Source organism: Homo sapiens, chromosome 14 (assembly GCF_000001405.40).
Source record: "Homo sapiens chromosome 14, GRCh38.p14 Primary Assembly".
NCBI classification, from domain to species: Eukaryota; Metazoa; Chordata; class Mammalia; order Primates; family Hominidae; genus Homo; species Homo sapiens.
The window spans coordinates 65,536,323-65,560,863 of NC_000014.9; the positions used below are offsets into that span (position 1 = coordinate 65,536,323).

The 24,541-nt window shown below is 35.2% G+C and overlaps 1 protein-coding gene across 13 annotated transcripts in view, besides 3 other annotated features; it reads left to right on the forward strand.

Moving 5' to 3' along the window:
- FUT8 (fucosyltransferase 8) overlaps positions 1 to 24,541 on the forward strand; it is a 387,280-nt gene that overhangs the window by 179,481 nt on the left and 183,258 nt on the right. The window lies entirely within an intron of this gene.
- Positions 1,146 to 1,655: an enhancer, noted in NCBI's record as "H3K27ac-H3K4me1 hESC enhancer chr14:66004186-66004695 (GRCh37/hg19 assembly coordinates)". NCBI's record gives its function as "activates a minimal SCP1, AML or CMV promoter by ChIP-STARR-seq in primed H9 embryonic stem cells {active_cell/tissue: H9 hESC(primed)}" and the evidence as "EXISTENCE:reporter gene assay evidence [ECO:0000049][PMID:30033119]".
- Positions 1,656 to 2,164: an enhancer, noted in NCBI's record as "H3K27ac-H3K4me1 hESC enhancer chr14:66004696-66005204 (GRCh37/hg19 assembly coordinates)". NCBI's record gives its function as "activates a minimal SCP1, AML or CMV promoter by ChIP-STARR-seq in primed H9 embryonic stem cells {active_cell/tissue: H9 hESC(primed)}" and the evidence as "EXISTENCE:reporter gene assay evidence [ECO:0000049][PMID:30033119]".
- Positions 14,769 to 15,063: a silencer, noted in NCBI's record as "tiled region #13095; K562 Repressive DNase matched - State 9:DNaseU". NCBI's record gives its function as "represses a minimal TATA promoter and a strong SV40 promoter by Sharpr-MPRA in K562 cells {active_cell/tissue: K562}" and the evidence as "EXISTENCE:reporter gene assay evidence [ECO:0000049][PMID:27701403]".

Genomic DNA, 24,541 nt, shown 5'->3' on the forward strand with positions numbered 1-24,541 from the left:
GTTTGTGTGGTTGCTTTATAGTGTCACTTGGTCTGTGTACTTCAGTGTGTTTTTGTAGTGGTTGCTAATGGTCTTTCCTTTCCATATTTAGTGCTTCTTTAAGGGGCTCTTGTAAGGCAAGTCTGGTGGTAATGAATTCCCTCAGCATTTGCTTGTCTGAAAAGGATCTTATTTCTCCTTCACTTATGAAGTTTAGTTTGGCCAGTTATGAAGTTCTTGGTTGGAATATCATTTCTTCAAGATATTGAATATAGACCCCCAATCTCTTCTGACTTATGAGGTTTCTTCTGAGAGGTCTGTTGTTAGTCTGTTGGGCTTCCTTTTGTAGGTGGCCTGTTCTATCTCTCTAGCTGCCTTTAACATGTTTTCTTTCATTTCAGCCTCATAGAATCTGATGATTATGTATCTTGGGCATAATCTTCTTGTAAAGTATTTTGCAGGGGTTCTCTGCATTTCCTGTGAATGTTGGCCTCTCTCTATAGGTTCAGAAAGTTCTCATGATGGTATCCTGAAAAGTGTTTTCCAGGTTGCTTCCAGTCTCCCCATTTCTTTCAAGGATGCCGATGAGTTGTAGATTTGGTCTCTTTACATAATCCCATATTTCCTGGAGGTTTTGCTATTCCCTTTTGTTCTTCATCTTCTTCTTCTTTTTTTTTTTTTTTTGCTGACTGTCTTATTTCAGAAAGCCAGTCTTCAAGTTCTATGATTTTTTTTCCTCAGCTTGGTCTGTTTTGCTGTTAATACTTGAGATTCTTATAGAGGTTTTTTCAGCTCTATCAGATCAATTATGTTTTTTCTGTACTGGCTATTTTGTCTTTCAGCTCTTGTATCATTTTATTGTGCTTCTTAGCTTGCTTAGATTGGCTTTTAGTGTTCTCCTGAATCTTGATGCTCTTTTTTCTTATCCATATTCTGAATTTTATTTGTTGTTTCAGCCATGTCAGCCCAGTTAAGAACCCTTGCTGGAGAACTAGTGTAGTCATTGGGAGGAAAGAAGACACTCTGGTTTTTTGAGTTGTTGGAGTTTTTATTATTATTACTATTATTACTATGATTATTATTATTATTACTTACATATTTTTTTTGACGGAATCTTGCTCTGTTGCCCAGGATGGAGTGCAGTGGCGTGATCTCAGCTCACTGTAAGCTCCGCCTCCCAGGTTCACGCCTTTCTCCTGTCTCAGCCTCCTGAGTAGCTGGGACTACAGGCACCTGCCACCACGCCCGGCTAATTTTTTGTATTTTTAGTAGAGACTGGGTTTCACCATGTTAGCCAGGATGGTCTCGATCTCCTGACCTTGTGATCCACCCACCTTGGCCTCCCAAACTGCTGGAATTACAGGCATGAGCCACTGCACCTGGCCGAGTTGTTGGAGTTCTTGTGCTGGTTCTTTCTCATCTTTGTGGGCTAATGTTTCTTCAGTCTTTGAAGTTGCTGTCATAAGAATGGGTGTTTTTTCTTTTATTCTGTTTGACGACCTTGGGGCTTTGATTGTGGTATAACATGGGTTCTGTGAACTGTTGTGCTGGAGTGGCCGAGGTGCCCTCGGACTGCTAGTCACAACACTTTGATAGGTGGTGCCAGCCAAAGCACTTCATAGGGTGATGGCAACGGGATCTATCCTTGTTCGCATGTGCCAGCGGCAGTGGCAATGTGGCGGGGTGCATGTTCATTGGCTGTAGCAGGGTGTTAGTGGGTGCTGGCCTCCCTGCAGGCATTCGGAGCAGTGAGTTCAGGTCTGACTCTTTAGTCCCCTAGGGCCAAAGTCTCCTATGGGAGCAAGTCGAGCCTAGTGGGTTAGGTGTCCCTGGCTGTGCTCCACTACAGATGCTCCCACACCAAACCCTCTGGGCTCTATCCTTACCACTTCTCGAAGCAGCTTTCCCTGCCAACTCAAGTGTCCATGGTGTTTGAGGGGTCTCCTCCTGCTGGGATTCCAGAGGCCTGTGGCCAGAGTGGGTCGCTCCTTGCCTGTTCAACTCACCCTCTCCGCTGGAGTTGTTGGGGACCAATAATGAGCCTTAGTGTGTGGTAGCTCCTGAAGGGTTTCCAGCTTCCTCTCTCTTCACATCAGCCCCTGTTCTTTCAGTGCCTTCCCTCTGAAGATCTGCTAGAAGTGTATCAGTCTCCCTGATGTCCTGGTCCCTCAGTTAGAGAGGTTCCTCCTGGCTGCATCTGGTCGACCATCTATGGCTCCTGGAGCTGAGGACATGAAGCAGTGAATACAGGACCCCAAGCTCTGGCTGGAGTGAGACAAAGACCCCACCATATCCCTGGAAGTCGCTACTGATATCTTTAAAAATTGCTGCTTCTAGGCCGGGAATGGTGGCTCACGCCTGTAATCCCAGTAGTTTGGGTGGCCGAGGTAGGTGGATTGCCTGAGGTCAGGAGTTCGAGACCAGCCTGGCCAACATGATGAAACCCTGTCTCTACTAAAAATACAAAAGTTAAGTGGGTGTGGTGGCATGCGCCTGTAATCCCAGCTACTCAGGAGGCTGAGGCAGGAGAATTGCTTGAACCCTGGAGGTGGAGGTTGGCAGTGAGCCAAGATCGCGCCATTGCACTCCAGCTTGGGTGACAGAGCAAGACTCTGTCTCAAAAAACAAAACAAAACAAAACAAACACAAAAAAAACGCTGCTTCTAGATAAATCCATTGAGTTTGGTGTAGCAAAAAATTGTTCCCCTTTAATTTTCTGCTGGCCGATATAAAATGAAGACATTTAATTATTCAAGATCTTTTAGATATTAGTTGTTACTCATTTGTGAGAAAACTCACATCGATACATGGTAGTCACTACATACACTTGCCAAAACTGCTTTTGTTTTTGTTCTATTATGGCTAAAAGAGATGGGTCTACCTGTAGTGTTACCTAGGCAATATGGATGTACACTGTATTTCATCGTCCTAAATTGCTTACCATTGAAATTCATATATTATGTTTGTTACTTTGGTAGTGTGTTCCCTTGTAACTCTGCCCGTGAAGAGTAATAATCCCTTGGTCAGCCATACCGTGTTTCTTTGATTCATTTGAAGTTGAGAGCAAGGGCTTCATCATTAAATAAATCTTTGCTCTTCCTGGTTTTGTGATCTTAGGCAAATTAATTAACCTTTTGTGTTTTACCTGATATTAGCATAGTTCAGTAGTTGAGTGGACTCTAGAGCTAGCTTGTAGGGATTTGAATCCTGGCTCTACTACTTAAAAGTATGTACGACTCTGGGCAAGTTACTAAATTTTTTGCTTCTTCTTTCTTATCTGTAAATTAAGGATAATATGGGTACTTATTTATGTACTAATAGAGATAATAGAGAATGTTTATTGAGTGTTTACTATGTGCCAGATTTAAACCTGGGTAAAAATAACATAATAGGGTTGTTGTGAGGCCTGAATGAATAAAATAAGTAAAACACTTTGTACAGGTTCCTAGTACATTTTCAGCCAATTATGTATAAAATGGGGTTGTGATAATTATAATGAAGCATATATGTCTGTGGAATAAGTATGGATCCAATATTTGTGGCAGAAAAAGACCACACTGTGTAACTCCATTGATTGGCTAATTGGTGGAGACACACAGAATGAGTCCCAACATTCTTTTAGGTAACTTGTATAAAACATATTAACTTTTCTCTCCCAGATCATGTGCAAGATATGGTAGATCCAAGAATCCTATCCAATGATACTTCAAAATTGTAACCTTAGTATACCTGTTGTGTTAAAAGTATTGTTTAGAATTGGCCACACTCGACAGATGGCCAGGGAAGTAAAAGCACTTATTGGGGATAGCTTTGACACCAGCTGTATTATATTAAAGATATGATATAAAACTTTTCTCAACATCAGTAGTGATTCTGAAGCTGTCAGAAATAGATAGGGAGTCATGATGCCCCTAAAGTTCATTTCCCCTTTCCTCTATAGTAATAGAACCCTGATTTTTGTTTGTTTGTTTTAACTGGGTACATGGATGACTAGAAGAAAAGACTATTTCCCAGCCATGTGATTAAATTCTGGCAAAAAAGAGATGAAAGCAGAAGTATTATGTGTGTACTTCTAAAAGACAGTGGCTCAGCTGGGAAGGCATACCTTTTTACCATTCAGTTTTCTTCCACTTTATTGAAAGTGTAATAACTGGAGCATTAACAATCATTTTGTACCATGAGGCAGTCTTGAAGATGGAAGCCAGGCATCTAGAGTGGTGGAAGAGAAAGCTAGAAGCTTGGGTCCCTGAGGACTTTGTGCAACCATCATCTCTACTTCACCTATCTCCAGACTTCTTTTACAAAAGAAAAAACCAAATCTCAATATTGCTTAAGCTATTGCTATGTTGAGATACTCTGTAATGTTCAGAATTGTATCCCTATACCAAGAGGAAGAAGTGTAAATAATGAAACACTGTTGAGATGGAATGGTTTATGTACACAGGAGCATGTGTTGTGTATGGAGAGCTGGAGAGTAGCATAAATAACTAACGAAGTGAGAAGATTGTAGATCTACTTTAATCATGCTAGTGAAACTGGAATATTGTATTAAAGGAAAATGTGAAACTTTGGAAAAAAGGAAATATGTAATAATTCAATGACATTTGTACAACTAGTTATCAGGTCACATTTTGATGGATATTGGGGATGGTTAAGAAAGCTAGGCGGCACAGATCACTCTGGTCTTTGGAATATAGATTAATGGTTTTTCATATGATTCTTTGTTATGCCATTGTTAAATGAAGTGTTTATAACCTTATTTTTTTCTGGTAAATCATATTTTATTAATGAGACTTCAAGTGTCTTATCTCAAAATGTTGGATTGGTAAATTTGAAAAAAATGTTAGAAAACATTAGCTATTTCCTGAGGGAGAGGTTGAGCCTTTACAACAAATGTTGATATTCTTTTACTTGTTAATATAAAGATGCGTAATTGTCAGGGTTGTCTAGAGAAACAGTACCAATAGGGTATAAATAAATAGATACATAAGAGGAGATTTATCATGGGATTATAGTCATTCAAGATGTCCCACCATATGCCATCTGCAGGCTGGAGAACAGGAAAGCCAGTGGTGTGAATTAGTCCAAGCTCAAAGGCCAGAAAACCAGGGGAACCCAAGGTCTAAGTCTCAGTTCAAGGTGGAAGGCCTTCGGAGGGGATTGCTGCTGCTGGATAAGTCTTGGAGTCTGAAGGCCCAACAATTAGTAGCTCTGGTATTTGAGAGCAGGAGGTGAAAGTACCAGCTCAAGAAGAGAGTGAGAATTCACCCATCCTCAACCTTTTTGTTTAATTCAGGTGGTCCTCAAAGGACTGAATGATGCCTGCTCACATTGGTGAGGGCACATGTTCTTTATTCAGTCTACTAATTCAAATGCTAATCTCTTCTGGGAACACCCTCACTGACACACCCAGAAATGATGTTTTACCAGTGATCTGGGTATCCCTTAACCCAGTCACGTTGACATAAAAAATTAACCATTATAAGATATTTTGGTTTTCATTCACAAATCATAAAAAATATTTGTGGTTTTCACTCACGAATATAAAAATAATTGTGGGGTTGCCTGTCCTTGTGTTAAAAGTATACATAGAGGAGATTTTCTAGTTTTCTCTTGCAATTCTTAAAGCCAGCATGTTCTTAATAATAGAAAAAAGCTGCCATTGATTCTGGTTCTGCTACTTACTGGCTTTATGACCTTGGGGAAGTTATTTAAATTCAGCGTACCTTAATTTTCTTCACTGTAAAATGGGGATAATAATACCTACCTACGTCGTAAGGGTATTGAGAGGATTAAATATTATGATATCTGTGAAGCAATTAGTAAAGGGCCTTGCATTCAGGAAACACTATATAAATGTAATCGTTATTATTATACTTAATGAGAGACCAGCGTAATAGGAATTATGACGGTCATTTTAAAGACAAAGTAATGCAGGTTCGGATATGTCCTGCTTGATTCTTTACTGTCCCATTTCTATATTAGCGGTGCCAGGATTTAGACCTTGTTCTGTCTAACCTTAGAGCCTGTACTTTCCAAGATCTTATACCATCATCCAACATTATCAGATCCCTCTGTGTCCTAACTGTTCACCTAACATATTATGTGTATTTGTCTTTAGCATATCAAACTGAGCCATAGTATCCCACAATGGTTGTACCATAATTTATTTGTTTCCCTTATTTTGTGAGATATATACTCTATGCCACTAATCTGGCCTATGTGTTAGTGAATTGAATACCAGCCAGTGATACCATTATGATATTCTTCATACATGCAGTAGTAAAGATTAGCCTTTAAAGGGCTTTCATGTCTCTTGTATGAAGAGTGCATGTTTACTGCACTTTTGAATCCCTACTATTCTGTAGAAACAGTTTTGAATGTGTTTGAATTTGCACCTTTGAATCTATTGTTCTTTAGAAACTGTTCCCTGGAAAGATTGTTAATGTTTATTCATTATTTGTGTTGTATATGACTAGGAATTTTTTATTTTTTTTTGAGACGGAGTTTTGCTCTTGTTGCCCAGGCTGGAGTGCAATGGCGCGATATTGGCTCACTGCAACCTCCGCTTCCTGGGTTCAAGCGATTATCCAGCCTCAGCCTCCTGAGTAGCTGGGGTTACAGGCATGCGCCACCATGCCTGGCTAATTTTGTATTTTTAGTAGAGATGGGGTTTCACCATGTTGGTCAGGCTGGTCTCAAACCCCTGACCTCAGGTGATCTGCCCGCCTCGACCTCCCAAAGTGCTGGGATTACAGGCGTGAGCCACCGCGCCTGGCCATGACTAGGAATTTTTTTTGCAATCCATTTATCTCTCCTTATAACTATTAAATGTTGTGTTTAAGGACCCTGCAGCTTATCAAGAGTTGATTTGAATGCAAGTTATTTCTTCGAAATTACATTTGGACCTATTTCTGAACATCTGCTTTTGACATTTTATGCACGTAAATATAAATGAGTAAACATATGAAAATGACTTTGAATCTTAGTTCTAATTCTTATAAGGCCTGATTTAATTTTTATTTTGCTTGGGATTTTGAATATAGGTATTAAATAAATATAAATTTGGATAATATGTATGGGCTTATTCAACAAATACTAATAAAGAGCTTGCTCTGTTTTAGGTGCTATGTATACTTTTAGCTCTTGCTCTACTGATACATACCTTTTAGTATAGGAAATAGATAAATAAGCCAATTTGTGTTATAATAGAGAATAATGGAAGAGGGTGAGTGTTTTTTTAAAAAAAACATAGAGTGTTGTATGTAGCATTCTTGTAGGGTATTGTAGTCATTCTTTCGTTCTTTCTTGTTTTTAGGGTCCCAGTTTTGTTTTGGAGCCTACCCTCAGGGATAAATTCTGATTAGTCTAAGCTGGTAATGGGAATCTATTCCATTTGTCAGTGATTGAGTTTACAAGGGACAGATGACTCAATCTTGGCTAGGAAGATGTGCAGGTCTTCAGGGGAGATGACTGTCAGTGGTTTCCTCTCTCTTAAAATTAAGAGACAGATTCCCAGTTGTTCTTTTGCACATAATTGCATATGGCTGGAATTGAGGCAGCTAACTTGCTACCAGGAAGAAAGTTAGCTAGAGGACAAAAACAGATATGCTAAGGTAGAATAGAAAGATGAAAAGGGATTTTTCACAGTTTCATTGAACCCCATTGAATTAGCTTTTTTGCTGTTGAGAAACTAAAATTTTCTTATTTTTAAAGTCACCTTGAGTTGCAATTTCTCTTGTATCCTAATGTGTCGTAATTGATACTAGTTGTCAGGGGCTGTTTTTTGGAAAAGAAGTATAATATAAGTAGAGATCTGAATTATAAGAATGAGCCAAAGGTGGAAGGAATAGCAAGAACAAAGGCTGCATGTTGGGTAAGAACTTGGCATATTCCAGAAACTGGCAGAAGGCTGATCTACTTGGTTTCTAAGCAAGGGAAAGATAATAACTAATATTTATAGATTGTTTTACTGTGTACAAATCACTTTTATGCATATTATCATAATCTTCACAATTATGTGAGTTTCTACGATTATGACTCCTACTTTATAGCAGGGTAAACTGTCCATATGTGATTGATTTGAAATGGTTGCTCTTTCTAATATTAACACATCATGGTGCCAATCAAGTATATATTATTTATGTGCACACACACACACAATTGGAGAAAATGGTGATATATATACACATTTCATTTGAATTTACTAGTATTACCATTTTTCAGCAGTATTAATTTATTTAGGGCTGAAGGTACAGATGGCAAGTCCAGATTTCTAGACCCATTTGAGTAGTTAATTGTATCAGTAAACACAGCCTGGTGTGTTATTGTGTGTAATTGTTAAGGTGAGTGAGATATTCTTGATAAGAACCTTATAAATGTGATTATGTGTTTGTACTTTATAACTAGGAAGATTAATTTCTAAGATATTGGCTGATTTCAGTGAATTAGTATTTTGTATTCATGTATTTATGATGCTGGCATTTTAAATTCATATGTATATACTATGACACTACTGATAAGAAATATGAAGTATGATAGATGAGTATAAGTAATGAATGAAAATCAAATTTTATAATCTTGGTAGGATTTATATGAAAATTTTCTTTTCTCTGTCCTGCTCTGCCCTCTTTTCCTCCCTGTCTTACCCTCTTCTTCTCTCTTTTCATCCTCTCCTCTTCCTTCCCCTCCTCTCCTCTTTCTTCCCCTCCCTTTCCCCCACCTCTCTTTTTCGTTGTCTTCATTTCAGTTTAGTTGGTTTTACCAAATGCTTTTACATAAAGTAAAAGTTTATTTCAGCTAGCATTAAAGGACCCTTTTAATTTATAATACTATTTTTACTTGTTCCTTTCTACTTCTTTCTTACATTAATAAACACATTATTTGTAAATTACCCTTTTCCCGTATAGGGAGCAAAGCAATAAAAAAGATTTTAATAAATTCTGTAACAATATTTAGTTAAAAAATGAATTGCGATCAAAGGAGAAGATATTTAAAAAATAGAGTCTTGGGCACATATTAATCCTGAATAGGATTGGATTATGTATGTACTATATATGGCTCTTAAAATGTTTGTACATTATAATTGATAATTAGCTTTTCTTTAAAAGTTTTATTTATAATTCTCTTTATCAACTTGAAAAATTTTTGTTTTCTAGTAGATTGTTAATGAAGAAAATGAGTGTGAAATATGTCATGCTCAATCTGTTACCTTGTAACAGTCATTCGTTAAATTTGCTAAATAAATGACTTCACTTTTCTGTTAAATTTTTCAGTTTATTCTATTATGTTGAATTACTTCAAGAAACACTTTGTAATAATGATTTTGGTTTTTACTCTTTTCAGTTGTTAAAAAAGTAAATTGATAACTCTTATAACTGCAGTGTATATTTTAATTTAGGAAATCACTATTATTTGAATAATTTATGATGATTCCTTTTATTCTGAGAAAAGGTTAGGTTAGTAAGAATGTTCAGTACAATTTCTCTGGTTTGTTAATTATATTACTAGTTATTTAAGTTGATTCTTATTGTCTGAAATTTGTGAAAAATATAGTTTTCACTTTAACATTTGGAAAGTTTATTACATCTATATAATAAATGCTGTTGAAATTTTTTTCATTAAAAGTAAGAATGTACTAGGTGATGATTTGCTGAAAAAATCTGTCTCATTGAAACTTAAATGCAAGGACATAATTTAGGCATTTAATGAAATAACAACTTTCAATTATTGACATTTTCAATTATAGTCACAAAATAGGGGTAATTTAAACTTTCTCTTAAAATTTTTGTCAACCTTATTGGAACATAATTTACATCAGTGAACCCATATTAAGTATACAGTTAGATGATATTTCTTAAATCTATATCCTCATGTAACTGTCATTTCCTTTCTTAATCAGTCATCTTCGTACTTGCTGGCAAGTACTAGTCTGATTTCCATCACTATCTGTTAGTTTCTTTGTTGTAGAACTTCATAATTTTATGAATTTAAGTTTTTAAGTCATTAGGCTATTCAAGTAATCTATTCTTTATTGAGCTTCAGTAGTTTGTTTCTTTTAGGGAATCTGTCCATTTCAGGTATGACTTCATATTTATTGGCCGAAAATAGAGTCATACAGTGTGTATTTTTTTTGTCCCTGGCATTTTTTGTCAGGCATGTTTTTGAGATTTAACCATATTGTGTATACTGGTAGTTGTTGTTTTTTTAAACTGATGAACAGTTTTCCATTGTATGAATGTGCCATAATTTGTTTATCCATTCACCTGCTTGAAGATGCCTGGATTGTTCCAAATCTTTGGCTGTTGTAAATAAATAAAGTTACTATGAATACTCATGTACTAGTCTTTGTATGGACATACATCTTAAGTTCCTTTGTAAATACCTGAATAGAATTGTTGAGGTATACGGTAAGTATATATTTGCAAGAAATTGACAAGCTGTTTATTTTTCTTTTTCCATTTTCTAGAACTCTTTGTGTAGAATTGTTGTTATATCTACCATGTTATGTAAATGGTAGAATTCGCACATAAAGCAATATGGGCCTAGAGTTTTCTTCATGGGAAGATTTACAAATACGCATTCAACTTCCTTAAGCTTTAAGTTTTTAAGTCATTAGGCTATTCAAGTAATCTATTCTTTATTGAGCTTCAGTAGTTTGTTTCTTTTAGGAAATCTGTCCATTTCAGGTATGACTTCGTATTTATTGACCGAAAATTATTTGTAATATTTTCTTATTACTCTTTTGTAGTATCTCTAGTAATACTACAGATAGTGCCTCTTACATTCCTAATATTAGCAGCTTATGTTCTTTTTTTTTTCAGCTTGTGTCCTTATGCCCTTGATTAGTCCAACTGGAAGATTTTTAATTTTATTGATCACTTCAGGGAACCCATTTTTTGTTTTCATTGATTTTTCTTTGTTGTTTATCGGTTTTATATTACATTCATAGAGCTTACACTGTGAACCTTTTACGTATTTCACCAAACTTTCAAATACTTTTATACCTCTTGAGGTATAATATAGGGACTTTAAAACAGTGTCCTTCCTTTTTTCTGCTTGCTATGTTTTGTGTAAGTATTGTCATATATTTTACTATTGTGTGTGTTGTAAACCCCATAATACTTTGTTATTATTTTAGCTTTGAGTCAAATTTATTTTGAAAGAAATTAGAAATGAGGAGGGGGCAGGGTGGAAAAAAGAGAAATTAGAAATGAGAAAAAATTTTATTTGTATTTACCCATATATTTAACATGTCTGTTTAAATCCATCATTTACATTCAAGTTTCTATCCACAATCATTTCTTTCAGCCTGAAAAGTATCCTTTTAAATATATCTTGTAGTATGTATCAGCTGGCAACAAGTTCTTTCCATTTTTTTGTTTTCCAAAAATATACTTATTTTGCATTTATTTTTTAAAAGCTTTTTGTTTCAGAATAATTTTAGAATTATAGAAAATTAGCAAAGAGAGTACAGTCACTGTATACTCTTTGCCCATGTTCCCCTAATGTTAACATCTTACGTAGCCATGGTACATTCATCTAAACTAATAAATTAACAGTAGTGAAATACTCTAAACTACAGACTACATTTGGATTTCAGCAGTTTTTCCATGGTGTCCCTGCCCTGTTCCAAGATTCAATTCAGGATACCACAGTATATTTAGTCATTATGTCTCCTTAGACTTCTCTAATCTATGGCAATTTCTCAGTTGTTTGTTTTTATGACTTTAATAGTTCAATACTTTTGAAGAGTACTGGTTAGGTATTTTGTTGAATGTCCCCAGATGAGGATTTGTCTGATATTTTCTTTTATTATTAGACTGGATTCATGGTTTTAGAGGATGAGTACTACAGAATTGATGGGTCCTTTTTTAGTATCATTTAGAATAGTTTCATCATATAAGTTACTCTTGAAGGGACTTTATAATCATCCCCTCCTTGTACTTTCAACTCTTGGGAACCACTGAACTATTTTTCAACCTATAGTTTTTCCCTTTCTGTAATGTCATGTAAATGAAGCACACAATATGTAGTCTTTGGTTTTGTCTTCCTTCACTTAGCAACATACATTTAAGATTCATTTTGTTGAGTAAATCAATGGCTTATTTCTTTTTATTACTAACTAGTATTCCTTTGTTTTCTATGTATCATGTTTGTTAATCTGTTCACCTGTTGAAGGCCATCTTGATTTTTTTTTTGCAGTTTTTTGTCTGTTATGAATAAAGCTGCTGCAAACATTTGAGATTAATTTTTTGTGGAAAAATATGCTTTCATTTTTCTTGGGTGGATTAACTTTGAAACCTCAAACTAAAACTTCTTAAAGAACCCATAGGAGAAAATATATGGGACTTTGGGTTTAGCATTGAATTTATAGACATAGTACCAAAACCACAGTCTATAAAAGAAAAGAAGTCAGTATATTGTATTATATTTAAAAAATTTAAAAATTTTGCTGTGTGCAAGATACTGTTAAAAGAATAAAAAGATAAGCCACAGACTGGGAGAAAATATTTGAAAATCATATATTTGATAAAAGACTTATGTTCAGAATATATAAAGAACTCAAGTCTCAGCAGTAAGAAAACAAGCAATCTAAAAAATGGGCGAAAGATCTCAAAAGATACTTTACCAGAGAAGATATACGGATACAAAATAAGCACATGAAAAGATGGCCAGATGTTCAGTGTCATTTGTTACTAGAAAAGTACACATTGCAACCACACTTTGATACCACTACACAGCTACCAGAATTGCCTTTAAACAAACTGACAATACCAAATGCTAGGGAGATTGTGGATCAACAGGAGTTCTTATTCATTGCTTCTGACAACTCAGAATGGTGCAGCCACTTTGGAATAGAGTTTGGCATTTTCTTGTAAACATACATTTTTCATGTGACCCAGCAATCCTACTCCTAGCTATTTGACCCAAGTTAGCTGAAAGTTCACATTCACAGAAACCTTTTATTTTTGAATATATTTTTACTGAATAACAAAGTGTAGTTTTGTCATTTTTTTTTTTTAGCATTTTAAAAAGATGTTGTCCCATTGTCTTACTAGATTGTATTTTTTTCTGATTAGAAGCCCCCTGCATTTCTTTGTTACCATGTATGGTTTACCCCCCAATCTTGTGGCTGTTTTACCCTCTAAATTATGGTTTTATTTGTATTTAAAAATAGATTGGAAATTCTATATATACCCATGGTTAAACATATTTTCAATGTACATTACTTCAAATTTGATGATAAATTTTGTTCTGAGAAGTCCTTTTCTGAAGCCAAACTCAAAAATGGGGAAGTGCTTACAGATTTCCAACTGGCCCCAAAACGGATATTGTAAATGGCTTTTTGCCTAACTAATGATGATGGATGAGTTTCATTTGCCTTTTATCATTTGAACGGTTTTTTGTTCACAATAATAGTTACTGTAAGGTGATGCAGCTGTGGTGAAGCTGTAAAACACTGTAGTATCTGACAATAAGTCCTATCAACAGTGGCTACCTGTATTAGTCTGTTTTTCATTGCTCTGAAGGAATTCCTGAGACTGGGTACTTTATAAAGAAAAGAGGTTTACACAGTGAAAACCTGTCTCTACTAAAAACACAAAAAATCAGTTGGGCATGGTGGCGCGTGCCTGTAGTCCCAGCTACTTGGGAGGCTGAGGCAGGAGAATCGCTTGAACCCAGGAGTTGGAGGTTGCAGTGAGCCGAGATCTCGCCACTGCACTCCAGCCTGGGTGACAGAGCGAGACTCTGTCTAAAAACAAAACAAAACAAAACAAAAAAGTTTACTTGGTTCCCAGCTTTGCAGTCTGTAGGAGAAGCATAATGCCAGCATCTGCTTCTGGGTGAGAGCCTCAGGAAACTTCCTCTCATGGTAGAAGGCAAAGGGGGAGCCAGCGTATCACATGGTGAGAAGGGGTGCAAGAGAGAGAAGGGAGGAGATACCAGGCTCTTTTTAACAAGATCATTGTGTGTTCTGATGAACCCATCATAAGTTGAAAGTATCATGAGTCGCAATATGTTTAATACACCTAATCTGAACATCATAGCTTAGCCTACCTTAAATGTGCCCAGAACACTTATATTAGCCTACAGTTGGACAAAATCATTTAACACAAAACTATTTTGTAATGAAGTGTTGAATATTTTGTAATTTATTGAATACTTTACTGAAAGTGAAGAACAAAATGGTTGTAGGGTTACTCAGAGTGGTTTCTACTGAATATATATTGCTTTTATACCATCATAAAGTTGAAAAATTGTTAAGTTGAGCCATTGTTAATTTGAGGACCATCTATATGATATTTTTTGTTCTACAAGTTATACATTTTTATTGTAGTTTTCTTTTTTCAACATTTTCATTTTTTCTTTTAAATCCTAGCACATATTTCGATACTTGTTTCAGCGCTCTTGTCTGCTGTCATCATTGTCATTTCTGTTTTCTGGATCTGTTTAAATGGACTAATTTTCTCCTGGTTATGGGTTACATTTTCCTTCTTGTTGGCATCATAGTATAAAATACATATTTTTGGCAAAGTAATTAATACTTTATTCAACTGTACTTCTGTTGATGGGCAATTACGTTGTTTTTCCAGTTTAGTGCTGTTGCAGACAATGATGTAAAGAGTATGTGAATGCATTTTGTTTACATATTAAAATGCATCTTAGCATAAATTTTTGCATGTGGAATTTCTTGTCAAAGGGCATGTGTATGTAAATATTTGATATATAATGCCGTATTACCCTTTGCATAGGGTACACATATTTTTATTATTTAAATAAGTGCTGAATTATTTTTGAGTTTAAAAGGCAACCCTCCTTTGACATGGCTCATAGCACAACAGGCCAGGCTTTTATCTTCAGCAGATTGTCGCATACTCATCTTCTGGCCTCAGCATCAAAGTCAAGCTGCTTGAATATGATTCTTGGAAACATCCTTTTCACACAGTCATATGCCAAATGTGGCCATTGTTCATTTTCTTGTTAGACTTAAGAAGTGTCAGTTTGATCGTATTATAAATGGTACTGCATTTTTTGTTATGTCTAATGGAATAATTGAGCTATATCTATCTTTAGGAAATGTAGGAGGGGGAAATGAGGAATTATTAGTCAAAGGGTACAGAGTTTTGGTTATAAAGATAAGTCTCAGAAATCTTTTGTACAGCGTGGTGCCTATAGTTAACAATACTGTATTGTATGGTTAAAAATTTCCTAAGAGGATAGATCTTACGTAAAGTATTCTTACTACAAACACACAAATTAGTGATAGTAAATAAGAGAGTGGGAGAAAACTGTTGCAGATGATGAATAGGTTTATGGCATAGATTGTGGTGATGAGTTCACAGGTGTCTACTTTGCAAACTCATCAAGTTGTATATATTATGTATAGCTTTTTGTATGTAAAACATGTTTAAAAGAATGTTGAATTTTAAAAAAGAAAAAGACAACACATCCTAGCCTGCTTATATTTTTGGGGAGTTATGATGATGGTAATGGTCACAACAATGACAACACAGTTATCGTAATCATTGTAAATTTAATAGAGACTTCGTTCTACTTCTGAAAATTTTTTTCAGTATGGTTGGATCTTACAAAGGTGCTAAATGTTTGTGATAAAATAGCTTAGTTTCAGCTCTGCGGTAAAATCTTGACATAATGATCATCTGTTTATATATATAATTTTAAACATTGTGTAATACATAAGGATTTTGAAGATTGCAACAATAAATTACCATGTTTTATTCTGACACTGTACATATATTTTGATTTTCAAATTATAGTATTATAACTGTGGTATGCAGGTGGCAGTGTTCAATTTTATGCTTAAAAATAAAATGATAGCAAAAAATGCAATTATTTGTGGAATAGTTTATATTCAGTTTCTGTTGAGTCACTCAGAATGTTAGTTGCTGTAAGAAGAGGCTTTTTTTCTTTTTTGGTTGTTTGTTTTAGTGGCATTACTTCACTTTGCAATTAGAACCCACTGTAATATTACCTATTGAAGGCAGGGATTTGTGTCTGTCTTGTTCACTGCTGCATCCTCAATGCCTGGGATATGTAATGTATTTTATGTAATAGAAATTGAATGATTAGTTTTTGAACATATGAGTGAATGGATCATAGTGTTGTATAGATTTAGGTAGATTTCTTCCAGTTGCTTTCCATTATAAATGTTGATAAGAACCATGCTGCATATTTAAAAAATAAAATTTACATAACATGAATGACTGCACTAAATGAAGTATATTATTTAGGAGGTCAGTTACTTACTGCTGACATAGTAGAGGATGCTTCCGAAGTGATCATCCTGAAGAATGGAGACTGCAGCTCATTGTCATTTCTTTTATTAATACTTCAAATGTGCTCCCTTCTCTACTGCAGCTGTGAAACTTTTTCTGGTCTTCTCAAGAACTTTCTCTTCTCTGTTTTTTCTCTAATGAATTATACTTTCATTTTTTAATTCCATTTTATCTTCACCACTGGCTTTTTCTTTGCTATACCTTTTTATTTTATTTAATAAAAACTACTTGTTGCTCTGGGGGAATGCCATCTGATGTTGGAAATGCTCTGTATCTACACCATTCGTAATGGTAACCACTAGACACAGGTAGCTATTGAGCAATCAAAATGTGGCCTACTGTGCCTGAGGAAATACGTTCTTTTTTTCCCCCAGACAGGGTCTTGCTCTGTCACCCATCCTGGAGTAGAATGGTGTGATCACGGCTCTCTGCAGCCTCAACCTCCAGGGCTCAAGTGATCCTCCCACCTCAGCCTCCCAAGGAGCTGGGACTATAGGCGTGCACCACCAGTTTTAATTTATTTATAGAGACAGGGTCTCACTATGTTGCTCAGGCTGGGGAAATAAATTTTTAATTTTAATTCTAATTTAAATAGTTGCATGTAGCTATTAAAGCAGTGTAGCTCTGGATCTTTATATATATGTATATGTATATATAAAATTATTAGTCTACTTTCAAATAATATAGCAGTTCATGTGTAGTGAGACAACTTGACTTTTGTGCACTTCCATTTCCTCCGTCTCATCTTTTAAATATTCTGTCATATGTTTTACATCTACATATATTATAAACCCAGTGATACATTATTGCCATTTTTGAGTTTAACAGCTTTTTATCTTTTAATGTGGTTAAATTAAGGGAAAATAGCTCTGATTTTTTAGATTTCATCATTTCTGGTGCTATTTTTGTGTGTGCAGATCTGCATTTTTATCTGGTATCATACTCCTCCTTGAAAAATTTCATTTAACATTTTTTATAGTACAATTTTGCCGGCACAGAATATTTTTTAACTTTTTTTTTCTGGAAGAGTTTTGATTTTGCCTTTATTTGCCTTTGTTTTGCCTTCATTTTATCCAGTGAAAGGTATTATCTAGAATGCTCAGTTGCCGTTTTTCCCCCCTTGGTATTTTAAAGATGATGCTCCATTGTTTTTTGACTGGCCTTCTTTATTACATGTAGTGTGTTCTCATTTTTTTTTCTCTGTATGTAATATTTCTTTTTTCCTAGTTACCTGAAAGATTTTTCTCTTTCAGTTTGTTTTTTAGCAGCTTTTTGTCTACATTTTAATTTTGCCCTACTAGCAATTCTCTGCATTTCTTTGACCTGTGGTGTTTTATCATTTTTTTACTTTGGAAAATTCCCAGCTAACATCTCTTTAAATGTATTTTCTTCTCTGTTCTTGTTTTCTTCACATTATTAAACTCCAGTTACACCTGCACTAGATCATTGGATATTATACTACAGCTTTAAAATTCCTATTCTGTTTTTTAAAAATTTCAATCTGTTTCTTCTCTTTGCGTTTCATTTTGAATAATATCTATTTACCTCTCTTCAAGCTCACTGAGTTTTTAGCTTTGTCTAATCTTCTGATAATTCTGTTGAAGATTTTCTGATATAGTCCATTTAGCATTTCTTCTTTGCCGAATCCCTTATCTGTTTTTGTATTTTGTTCATATTTACCATGAGATCCTTTAATATATCAATTACAATTATTCTCTTTTCTGTCTGATAGTTCAAATATCTGATTCATTTAGAAGTCTGGTTTTGGTGTTTGCTTTGTCTTTTGACTATGGTTTGGGTTTTTTTTTTAACTATATATCTATATATATATTATATATATATATTTATATCTATAGATCTATATCTCATGGTTTTTTTGTTGCATGCCAGACATTTTAGGTAAAAGGCAACAAAGATTGAGGTGAATAGTATTTATGCCCAGAAACGGGTACCCTTCTTCTTTGATGATGTTGGTGTATATGTGGATTGGGATGGGGCAGAGATTGAGTCAGTCCAACAGTGGTTTGAGTTGGATTTGTTTTTTTGTTGTGATTGTAATAGTTAAATTCACTGAATCAGAAACTTGAAATTCCTGCAGTAGTGGACTGCTTGCTGCTTCTTCATTCTTGGTTTGGAGCCTCGGTGCTGGAGTCTTTCCTCTGTGTTCCAGCTCCATCCTTAGCTTTTAGCAGGTCTTTGGATGCCTGCATCACAGCATGACCTCTGTTCATATTCTTTGTAACTTTTGATAAAATGCACCTTCTAGTTTTGATTGTCTGTATTTTCTTATCTTTCTTTGAAGATTGTTGAGTTTTATTTTGACAGGCAGATAATTTACTTTTGGATTACACTGATCCTTTTGTAGCTTGTTTTTAAGCTTTGTTAGGGCTCTTGTTGGCATAGCTTTTATTCTATAACTGGAGTCAGTAGACTTTGGTTTATGAGCCAAATCTGGTCCACAGCCCATTTTTGTATAGCTCATGAGCTAAGAATGGATTTTTCATTTTTAAAGGGTTATAAAGAAACAAAAATAAAAATTAAGAAGTATATGTGACAGTGACTATATATGCCTCACATAGCCTAAGATATTTATCTTGCCCTTTACAGAAAACATTTTCTGATCCTGCTTGCTTAATTTTAATTTCTAAGGTGTTTTATTTCTTGGATTTTTACCGAATGCTGCAGGTTTTCTCTGTGGTATTTTTATTGTACCTGGTTGGAACTCACAGGTCTGTCAACTTTGCCTAATCTTTGAGATGTGTTCAGCTTTTAGCTACCCAGTATTTAATTTTTCTATTTCTGATAATTGTCCTTTGCAAGCCTCATGAGTTCTTACTATAACTTAGTTTCCTGCCAAAGACTTAAAGGATCTCCTATGCAAATTTTGGAGCTTTCTGAGTATCTACCTCCTCTTTAGTATAATGACCTGCAAATTCCACCTACCTTAAATTCCCTGAACTTTGGTCTTTGTCTTCTCACCTGAGGAAGATGGCTGTGTTTTGTTTGGGTTCTTCCTTTCTGTGCTGGTGTTCAGCAAATGCTTCTAGGCAGAAGGCTAAAGTGATCATAGGGCTTACTTTTATTGTTAATTTTCTCTCAGACATTACAGTCTTCTTTGACCTTTGCCCAATATCTGAAAACAGTTTTTCTAAATATGTTTTTTAAAGTTTTCTAGTTTATATGTGAGGCTAATCTAGTAGTTATTCTTTCATGGTTGGAGATGGAACTCTGTTTAGCAGCTATTAATAAATGTGCTTTTTTACCTCTGGTATTAGTATAAAACCAATAATTGTAATTGTATCTGTTAAATCTCTTATTTGCTGTAAATTGAGTTTTGTTTTATGGTATGTATAAGAGGTATTAGCAGAATACATAAGGAAATGTGATTAAGACTCAGTTCTGTCCTGCAACTTGAATGCCTATTCTGTGCCCAGGGCTTTCTATAACTTGCTAGAGACAGAAAATAACACATGAAGTGAAGATCAGGCTTTTAACCTACTAGAGGAGGTAGTCATATGTATTAATTATTTATTGCTATGTAACACATTACCTTTAGACTAAGTGGTTTAAAGCAACAATTTATTATCTGTTGGTCAGAATTTAGGGATGGTTTAGCTGGATCCTCTGGCTAAGCTCCATCTCCTAGGTGAGGGTCTTTAAAAAGCCTGCATTCAAGATGTGGACCAAAGCTACAGCTGTCTTGAGGCTTGACTGGTGATGGTGCATTTCTAAGCTTGCTCACGTTCACTGGTCATTGGCGGGATTCAACAACCTTGTGAGGTGCTTGTGGTCTTAGGACTGAGCACTTTAAATCTTCGTTGGCTGTTGTCTGAAGGCTGCCCTCAGCTCCTTTCCACATGGGCCTCTCAGCATGATGGCTGACAGTATGGTAGCTTGTATCATCAGAATAAGCAAGCAGGGACAATGTGAGCAAGACACAGAAGCTCCAGTCTTTTGTAACCTTATCTTGGAAATGAAATTCTGTCACTTTTACTGTATTCTATTTAAGAAACAAGTCACTAGGTGCAGCCAACACTCAAGAGGAGGAGATGATACAAGGGCATGAATAGTGGACGCAGAGATAGTTGGCAACCATTTTAGAAGCTGCCTACAACAGCATGTGGCATATTAATTATATAAAGAATTGTAAATGGGTCTATAAAATAATGTAACAACGTCAATATATACCACATAATAATTTGCTGCATGGTATGCTGAGGTGCCTCACCACTGATGATTATTTTATTTAAGCCTTTTCCAGTATTCTCTGGGAGAGGTGGTATTTATTATCTCCAGTTTACAGATTGATGTTCAGTGAGGTTACCTAGCTATGATGTAGCAGAACTGAGACTCCAGTCTAGACACTGCTGATTCTAGCACCCATACTTTTAATTTCTATGTCTTGTCAGCATTAAAATAAAATTACTTTTTTTGGAGCACTTCTTCTGTGCCAAGCATTATGATAAGTGGTTTATATATGTTAACCTTATTTAAGGCTCGTGGCAACTCTATTAAGTCTCCTTATCTTACTGATATTACACTCGAGCTTCCAGATTCAGAAAAAGTACTTTGAAAAATCAAATATGTTTATTGTTCCAGAGACATTAAACAAATATTACCCAAAGAATCTCTGTAAATACTGAAAGAAATGAATCATTTAAATACCTTAGTACCTTAAAAAGGTGATATCAATCTAGCCTAGGCAACATGCCGAGATTTTGTCTCTCTCTCCCCTTTTTTTTTTTTTTGAGACAGAGCCTTGCTCTGTCGCCCAGGCTGGAGTGTGGTGTTGTGATCTCGGCTCACTGCAACCTCCACCTTCCAGGTTCAAGGAATTCTCTGCCTCAGCCTCCTAAGTAGCTGGGATTATAGGCACCCACCACCATGCCTGGCTCATTTTTGTATTTTTAGTAGAGGCGGGGGTTTCACCATCTTGGCCAGGCTGGTCTTGAACTCCTGACCTTGTGATCCACCCGCCTCAGCCTCCCAAAGTGCTGGGATTACAGGTGTGAGTCACTGTGCCCAGCCAATTTTGTCTCTTAAAAAAAAAAAAAGTGATATCACTAATTAAATAAATTTGCAGAAAGAATCCTGGCACATTTCAGTACATTTAGTATATTTAGTATTTTGCAGAAGGGTACTTTGTGAGTCTTAAGTAGTAATAAATTTATAAATTCTTGAAAGCCCACTCTGAGAAGAAATCTCAACAAACACTGCTATATAAATTTTAGTCAGAAATTAGCTGATATATGTAATTTTTAAATATTTTTACGAATTTGAACTATTTTTACTAATACTTTCACAAATAAGTTGAGTGGTTGTCATATCAAAGGCTGAACATACTTTCTTCAGTTATATCGTTGTCTTTGCAAAGTGAATCTTCTAAATGAAGAAAATAAGATACATTATTTTTTCATGGTTAAAAGGTAAACCATAAGACTCTCTTGGCTGGGTGTGGTGGCTCACATCTGTAATCCCTACACTTTGGGAGGCTGAGGCAGGTGGATCACTTGAGGTCAGGAGTTCAAGACCAGCCTGGCCAACATGGTGAAATCCCATCTCTACTAAAAATATAAAAAATGAGCCGGGCGCCACAGCAGACACCTGTAGTCTCAGCTACTCGGGAGGCTGAGACAAGAGAATCTCTTGAACCCTGGAGGTGGAAGTTGTAGTGAGCCGAGATTGTGCCACTGCACTCCAGCCTGGGCAACAGAGCGAGACTCAAAAAAAAAAAAAAAAAGACTCTCTTGGTCTTTTAGGCCAATTAAATTTAATCAATCAAGGAATGTCTTTATAAGATATATGTTGACAATAATAAATATGAAAGTTTATTAATGACTTTATTTTTGAACCATTTCCTTATAATAGCATTCTCTCACTTTCTGCATTACCATTTGCTGTCTTAAGTAGGGCATAAATGCAGTTTAAGCTGTATTTATTAGTGCCAACTAAGTGCCAAATACCGTTCTGAGTGCCTGGGATACATCAGTGAACACAATGAACAAAAATTATGGCGTTTGTATTTTAGCAAGCATGGTTCAGACAATAAACAGTAACCATAAGTAAGTAAGCAAGCATTCATTGTAGTTAGTAGATAGGGAAAAAATTCTGTACTTGTTCTTTTAAACCTTGCAGAGGAAAATTGCATAGAAAACTATTTGTTTTTCAGCTTAACTTGGTTTTCTTGACCCCAAAACTGGGGATTTAAAAAATACTGGCAAAGACAAAAAAAATCATGGGAAACATTCTCTCCAAAAACATAGTTCAAATGATGCTATTAATTAGAAAATGACCATGTTTTGCTCTTATAAAAATGTATTGCTTTTTAAAACTCAAGTATTATCAATATTGATATATAATATAGTAATTTAATCTCTTAGATATTTTTGGTAATGGTTTATAAAAAATGGAAAGTATTTTTTGTTGTACAAATTTTGTTATTCAAAATGTATGTTTCTGTAAACTTTTGTTACTATTCAAGTTATGCTGGCTTTAAATATTACGATTTTTATGGTAATCCCAAGGAAAATGTTTCAGCATGTCTTTTTATTATTTAAATTACTCTTTTAAAGAAAGCTACCTTTGCTTTGGTTGTTTATCTCAGTTGTCTGTTTTCTGCGTTACTTTTGCAGTGAAGGGAAAGAAAAAAATTGTAATATCTGATATATAGTTTACCCTCTGTAGCTGTAGTTTTAGTATTCTTGATTCAGCCAACTACAGATCAAAATATTTGCCAAAAAATACCCCCAAAATTGACTATCTACATAGCATTTACGTTGTATTAGGTGTTATAAGTAATCTAGAGATGATTTAAAGTATTTGGGAGGATGTGTGTAGGTTATATGTAAATACTATGCCATTTTATGTAAGAAACCCGAACATCTGTGGATTTTGGTGTCCGTGGAGGGTACTGAGAGACAACTGTATATCTTAATAGCTTAGAATTAACTAGGATATAGTACAGTTTCAGCATATAAGTATAGTAACATTTTACAGTGTTGCATATGTTGTCTCAAAATTACTGTTAATTGAAATATTAATACTTATATTTTTTGGCTGACGTACCGAATTGAATCAATTTCTTATGCCATCAGAATGAATTCACTTCTTATTTGGTTTTAAAGTCACAGAGCCCTGGATTTCTGTATTTTTTTTACATAAGATGAAAAGTAGGGGATACCTGAGTTTAGAGGAGTGGGGATTGAGAAAGAGTTTTAAGAAAGGGACAGGATAAACAATGGAGTCAGTAAAAAGAGTGTTCTTGATAGATTTAAGAATAGTTATTAAAACAACAGACAACTTTTTACTTGGATTATTCCTTTTTAATTTGGTTTTCAAACAGTTCTCAGCAAGTACAATTCTTTTCATTCTATGTTTTAGCCAGTGTAAATCAGTAACATTAAGGTAAATGTTGTAGGAGTAAATGGGAAGGAAGTAGAGTGTTTCTAGGACAGCCCTTTGATTTTCTTCTCTTTGAATATTGGTGTTTTAAAAACAATTGAGATTTAAGGTGCAAACATAGAAAAATAGTGGCCCTGTGCTCTGATTTTTGAAGCCTCTTCTCCATCTTTTCTGCTCATCTTTTTACCACTGTTTGATTTGTGGTCAAGTGCCCCTCACATTCAGTCTCGTATACAGAAACTATTTCTTGTTTTTTCTCTCTTCTCTTGTATATGGAACTCTGTCTAGACATATGATTTCTCTTCTATAGCTTTAAAATTATCAAAACATTTTTAAAATTAAAGAAAAAAAAATTTTTATAGAGATGGGGTTTCACCATCTTGCCAGATTGGTCTCAAACTCTGGGTTCAAGCAATTCTCCCGCCTTGTCTCCTTCTAAAGTGCAGGGATTACAGATGTGAGTCACTGTGGCTGGCCTGTCAAAAGGTTTTAAATTATATTTTTGCCTACAAATTCTCTCCTGGGGAGAAAATAGTTTTGTTTCCAAGGGAATTCTAAGCCTAATGATGGAGAAATGACAAATGATACTTGTAACCAAGCCTGGAAAAGAATGTGCATTTGTAGTTTAAGATGCACAGTAACTAAGATGTAACTGGTGCTAGACGTTTGTTGCAATTGTTGGTATTTTTATAAATTTGAGGAAGCAGTAGTCTAGCCTGATCCATTTGAACCTTTGCTTCTGATATTTGGAATGACTGCCAGCTGGTTAATGGCTATGATAACCTTTACTTGGCTAATATGCATGTCAGTTTTAGAATTTATCCTAAAAGTGACAATTTGCCTGTCACCTGCAGAGTTAA